The sequence below is a fragment of the Homo sapiens genome, chromosome 3 (assembly GCF_000001405.40).
Source record: "Homo sapiens chromosome 3, GRCh38.p14 Primary Assembly".
NCBI classification, from domain to species: domain Eukaryota; kingdom Metazoa; phylum Chordata; class Mammalia; order Primates; family Hominidae; genus Homo; species Homo sapiens.
In genome coordinates, this window is record NC_000003.12 from 161,521,033 (window position 1) to 161,522,725 (window position 1,693).

General features: G+C 38.7%; 1 annotated feature.

Moving 5' to 3' along the window:
• Window positions 429–1,058: an enhancer, noted in NCBI's record as "NANOG hESC enhancer chr3:161239249-161239878 (GRCh37/hg19 assembly coordinates)". NCBI's record gives its function as "activates a minimal SCP1, AML or CMV promoter by ChIP-STARR-seq in naive H9 embryonic stem cells {active_cell/tissue: H9 hESC(naive)}" and the evidence as "EXISTENCE:reporter gene assay evidence [ECO:0000049][PMID:30033119]".

Consider the following 1,693-nt stretch of genomic DNA (forward strand, 5'->3'; position numbering starts at 1 on the left):
ACCATATCCAGACGGTTGTACACCCCCCGAGATACGGGGAGTAATATCACCTCTCACCTCCTGGATATTATGAACCATGTCACAGGGGGGTGTACACCCCCCGCGATATGGGGGGTAATATCACCCTCTCCCCCCTGGATATTATGAACCATATCAGAAGGGGGCGTACACCCCCTACGATATGAGGAGTAATATCACCCTCTCCCTCTCTGGATATTAAGAACCATATCACACATCACTGGTTTCAGGACTATTTCAAATGACTGACCATTAGTGTCTTATCGCCAGTCTGGGAATCTCACGGTGCAATATTCTAGGGAGACTTGTTACCTTAGAAACAGGTGCTAATATTGCAATAATGATTCGCTAGAAAATTACAAAGCATATCTAAGAAGTTAGTGAATAATATTAAATTGGGAAGTGGAGCCTAGCATCTTTTGGGCAGGAGAATTATTTAAGATGCCCTTGAAAATGAGGGTAAGAAACCACAGAAAGAATAAGAAAAAACATCAGTGAAGGCAATTTATGTGATAAGAGGGAGTTAAATTAGTGGGGAAAAAAAGGGAAAATTTCCAGTACCTTCCAGGTGCTTTCACAAGTACCTGGAAGGCTTCTTGTGCTCACTTCCATTTAAATTACCTCGCTCCACAAACACAGCCACCACTCTGATTTCTATTACCATAGATTAATTTTCCATGTTCCTGAAGTTTTTATAAATGGAATCACACAGTCTCTTTCATGTCTAGCCTCTTTCCTCAACATTCTGTTTAAGAGAATGTCCATATTGTTGTGGAGATCAGCAGTACTTAACATGTTGAACATCTAATTGCTCATGTAGATTGGCCAAATCCAAGGAGTTTCTACTCATCTTAAAGCTGAGACTATGCTTGAAAATAAAACATGGTTCTGAGTCCAGCCTTAGTAAACGGGGTATTTAGTCCACAACTCTAAAACCAGCTCTCAGGTTTGTGAATCTCAGTCTGTTTCTGCCACAAATATTTTACTTGTCCAATATTTATTGGTCAATTTCTGTCAGGTATTGTGACAGATCATACAATTTTGTAAAATCATCAATTGAGAAATTTATTAATTATGAGAACAGAAGAGAGGTTGAAAACAGTCTAGGAGTATTAGGGGAGCTTTTGTAATCATTTATTTATCCATATATTAAATATTTATTGAGCGCCTACCTCATGCCAATCATGCTAGATGCTGAAGATACTGCTTTGAACAAGACAGATATGCCTTTGCCTTAATGGAGCTGCAATTCCAGTGAGAAAGAGAGGAGATGACATTAAAGGAGGTCTTGAAGGATCCATTAAGTCCTTATGCGAAAAAGCAAGAAGTGTCATTGCTAGCAGAGATTCCTATAGGTAGAATTATAGAGTATAGAAAGAGGTTGATACATTTGGAAAACTACAAATAGTGACATACGGCTGGAATTCTGATAAAGAGCAAGTAGAGTAGATTCTTCCAAAAATGTTGCACCTAAAATCTACCACTGGCTAGGCTAGCTAAGCTAACTGTCCATCTGTCTATCTGTCTGTCTATCTGTCTGTCTATCTGTCTGTCTATCTATCTATCTATCTATCTATCTATCTATCTATCTATCTATCTATCTATCTGTCTATCTACCATCTATCTCACCTATTCTGTGTATGATGTGATAAACACTGGGGGAATTCATAGAGAG